The 4,611-nt window shown below is 31.8% G+C and overlaps 2 annotated features.

Moving 5' to 3' along the window:
• Positions 2,215 to 2,725: an enhancer, noted in NCBI's record as "NANOG hESC enhancer chr14:44418560-44419070 (GRCh37/hg19 assembly coordinates)". NCBI's record gives its function as "activates a minimal SCP1, AML or CMV promoter by ChIP-STARR-seq in naive H9 embryonic stem cells {active_cell/tissue: H9 hESC(naive)}" and the evidence as "EXISTENCE:reporter gene assay evidence [ECO:0000049][PMID:30033119]".
• Positions 4,062 to 4,231: an enhancer, noted in NCBI's record as "experimental_34039 CRE fragment used in MPRA reporter constructs". NCBI's record gives its function as "activates a minimal promoter by MPRAs in K562 erythroleukemia cells, with activity observed for both the introgressed and non-introgressed 14:44420492 variant alleles {active_cell/tissue: K562}" and the evidence as "EXISTENCE:reporter gene assay evidence [ECO:0000049][PMID:34662402]".

The following is a 4,611-nucleotide window of genomic DNA, read 5'->3' on the forward strand; positions in this document are numbered from 1 at the left end:
TATTTACCATAAGATCAGTTATCAGACTGTTTACAAAGAGATTAGACCAGCTCACCTGGTCTTCTTTCTTTCTCCAGGAACACCTTTTTCTCCACCACAATTGTAATCAGTAGTTAGGAGAGAATTGAATTATGGTCCCGATGTTGAAACTTCTTCATCTCCATTTTATAATTTCAGAGAAGGATACGGAAGAGAGAATGTTAGGGATTTATTCCATGTTACTATTAATCTATAAATCTAACTTTTTTTTCTTTATGTACCATGTAGTTTTAACAAGTGATAATGAGCATGCATTGCTCATATAATGGGAAAAATCAAAGGAGTATTTCTCTTGTCTCTGTTAACTGAACCTTTTTATGGGCACACAACAGTAAGATACTGACTCTTCAAAGACATAACTTCCCATTATAAATTTTATTTCTTACTTGAATTAGAGATGCAATTTGTCAACCTTCAAATTCTAAAACTATAAGTAATCCACTGAAGTTATTAATAAGCTTTTCCTTTAAATTAATTGCTAAATAGCTCATTAATTTTTATATATATAATATCTGCCAATTTGTTAACTCATTCATTTTCTTTTATAATAGCTTCCACAAAAAACAAAGAGTAAACAAGATGCGATCCTTCCTTAAAAAATAATGTAGGCTTTTACAGTTTTTAATATGCTTGTTCTTTTTAATATTCTTTGCTTTAGTGCATGACAAGAGTTTATAATTTTCCCACAGATTGAATAAAATGCTTAAACTTGAAAAGTAATTTATAAATATTCTTTGTGCAATCTACTTACTTTACATACTAAAAACTAAATGGTTAAAGTAACTGGCCTTTACACAGTTCTTCAATGTCTCTGTTCTCGGCACCTTTTATATAGTACCTAGCAACTGAAATAATTCCTGAATTTGCCATTATGCTCTCCAAATTACGTTCTACTACTTATTCAGTTGCTCCTAAACTCAACCCAACATATAGATTTTAATTTAAATAAGATTTATTTTATTTAAAAACCTCTGTGTATTCTCCTCCTTATTCACTGAACGTATCATAAATTATATGCATCATATTCAGCAGTAGAGAGTGACAATGTCTTGCTTTTAAACAACTCAGAAGATTGATGTAACATGTTTAAAAATATTGTCTTAAATCATCTAAAATTCTCATCTAATTTTTAATTTAGAAATGTCACAAACTGGGAATTCATATAAAATGAAAAGATGATGTGTAATTGAAGTGAAATTTAAATCAGTCAGAGAAAGTACAGTTGAATTTAGGGAAATTCTCATTAAGTTAAAGTACTTATTAACTTTCTGTTTCCTTTGTATATATACACCAAATACAGAGATGATTAATGCATTATGTGCATCATCTTTCTTGTTAATTATATTCTAATGTAATCTCAAATGACAGTATAATAATCTTGTATATTTATAAATTCTATTTTCAGACAACACTGCCACTTTAGAATCCAATGCATATCCTCAAAACACCAATTTGTTGGATTCTTAAGCATATAAAGTGAGCATCCATCATGTGATAAACACCACATCAGGGACTGAATACCGCAGAAAACCAAAGTTTTACTCTCAGGGAGTCACTGTCCCAGTGGAAGGCACAGGCTAAAATTCCCAATTTATAGTATAGTAGTATAAGCCCAAATATTGTGTATATACGGTGGCCTATGAGAACAAAGACAAGGAGAACTGAATTTATCCAAGAGGTTGGTATCAAGGTGAATATTATCTAAGGGAATATGAGGGCTCACAACTCATAAACAAAGACATGTATTGCTCTGTTATGGAAGTTTCCCACTTCAAATAAGAGCCAACTTAACACTATTATTATCATTTCTATTCAGTGTCTTTTAGCAATGCAAACAGACATTAAATGAAAATAAGTGTATATACTGGAACAGAGAAAAAATTATAAAATAGGTAAATGATCCGATATTACTATTAATAGAGAAGAATATTTTTCTCTCTAGGACTCAAATGAACAAAAAAAGTTAAAAAAAAAATACTGTACCTTGTATTCTATGACAAATTAAATCAAATCTTTCAAGTAAGCACTTTTCCTGTTGGGTATCAGAGAAGAACATTTTGAGCTTCAACATTGGAAACTTAAAGTTTTGTCTAGTTTAAAGGCTCTCCTTTGGAAAATTCAGCCTCTGTAAGGTAAATACTACCCAACTCCCCCTCTCCAAGAGGACACCTGGTTGTATTTGTAAGAGTAAGTAGCATAAATAATTCCATAACTGGGAGGAAAAATGGGAGCTACAAGGGTCCATACTATTTTCTGCAGCATGCTGATCTGGTTATTGGACTGGGGATTGCTGCAAACAAGTCCTGATATGCTGTTAGGACCAATGTGTCACTATCCACTACTTATGTATATGTTCCCAGCTGTGTATCTCTCTTTGCAAGAGAAAAGCCCCTTTGTTCCAACTTCAAGCCTCTGTTGGTCCACGAGTTCTCTTAGCAAATTCCTGTCCCCTAACGGTAATGTGACTGTTTCCTGATTCTCTATGTGGAATACTAAGACATGTGGAGTGAGAAGTTCTACTTAAGTCTTTGTCTTGCACATTTCCCTGTGCCACTATTGTCCAAATTTTCCCAGCAGGGCACTCGTGCTAGTATTCTACATAGGAGCTGGGAAAGAATGCTTTTTTTCTTCTTCCCCTTCTATCTATTTAGCAAAACCCCTGACTTTAAAGAGGAGATCAGTCCACAAGTGTCTATTTGTCCCTCCTGCCTCTATCCCATAAACTCTTTTCCACAATACATATTTGGATTATGTGACACACTGGTCCTAACAGCATATCAGGGCATGTTTGCAGCAATCTTCAGTCCAACGACCAAATCAGCCTGCTGAAGAAAACAGTATGAACACTTGTAACTCTTATTCCTACTTATTCTTCCTGACCTCAGGAATTTCTCATTTGTCACAGCCCCAGCCCCTTCTCCACAAGAGATTTGCTCTGTTCCTTTCACAGATTCCCAAATTGTGAATTGCAAGCAAACAGAGAAGCAGGTTGAGAAATAGGGAAAGATGAAGTAAGAGAGTTACCAAAAATATTATTCTTATTATAGCCCGAAAAAACTCAAGAACATCAAGTATAGCTACACAACATGTAAAGTCATAAATTTCCCATATGCCAGCAGAAACTGGCTAGAAAATATCTACGTGTATGGTTTGTTTCCATATATGAAGCCAGACAAGAACATATTTGTAGCAGTATATTTGGCTAAGTTTGAATAGATTAATTTTGTGAGACAGCATTTTAAAACAATTAAATTGTATTCACTTGAAATTGTAAAATTCCAACATTGGAATCAAATTGCTATTCAAGAAATAAGAGAATTTCCATCTGTGACTTTAGAATTTCACCACAAATTGCTATATGGGTTTTTTTTGTAAGTATATAACATGAGCAACAATGCGTGGGATATTTACATGGGCTCTGTTCTATAAATTTTTAATTTATCTAAATATCAAACAACAGATCAATACAGAAATAATCATTATTGCAAATAAGTTTTGGTCTTTGACTTTCATTATTTTAGTAATTTTAATGTTAAAATATGACTATAGTGTAAGATACCATCTGTTTTCCTATGTAGAAAAATTCCCTTATCTAAACACTAAATGTGTAATTATTCAAATGTTGAAAAACCACTATCCTGTAAGATTACCTAAAAGAAGGATTTTGGTGATCTTATTTAATATAAAGACTTCCAAAAATTAGTTGTGCCTTTTTAAGCTAACTAATTTCTACTTTCCCACTGAAACTTCAAAATTTGGGTGACTTTATAGTTACCCTGATTAAAATGCTGACTTTTCTTACAAGGTCACACACATAGAAATAGTTGCCTGAGTTTAAGGCAGATTGCTGTTTTTTCAGTGATACATTAACTCTTCTAACTCTACAAGATTGGCTTTAGTGTCAATGCTATGCACACGCACAGCAGCAACTGCCTAGTGATATCTCTATCTTCAAGAATAATTCTTGTGTATCACTGATATTGCAATGGAATGTCATTATTAGCTATGATTTTTTAAATAAATTTGTTAAATTTGGAGCTTTATATACTTGTGGAAATAAAATTATACTAAATTAAAATTAAAATGTACATATACAATAACTCAAATATATAATGTAAATATATATTTATGAATGAAATATATGTGCTATAAATGAGAATAATGATGAACCATCAATTTATACTTGATTTTCTGGTTTCTTTATGTAATTTAAAAGATACTTTTTTAAAGTATGGGTTATAGTAAACTATTATATTGGGACATCATAATTTTATTTTTATTATGATTTGAGACAGGATAATTTAGTAATCGTCTTTGGAGTTTCAAAGCCCTAGTTTAAAGTCTAATTTACCACATGTTGACATAAGTTTCCTCAACCATAAAACTGGGTATCTACCCTGTAAGTTTTCTTTTGTTATTATTCCTGAGCATAAAGTAAATGGTATATTATTCCTGAGCATAAAGTAAATGGTATCCATAAAGTAAATGGATAAATATTAGCTTTAAAATAGTTTGCTAACCCAAACAATCACAAGCTCTTCTTTCAAAAGTTACAATGTGTACATTTAAGTA

This window comes from Homo sapiens, chromosome 14 (genome assembly GCF_000001405.40).
Source record: "Homo sapiens chromosome 14, GRCh38.p14 Primary Assembly".
Taxonomy (NCBI): Eukaryota; Metazoa; Chordata; class Mammalia; order Primates; family Hominidae; genus Homo; species Homo sapiens.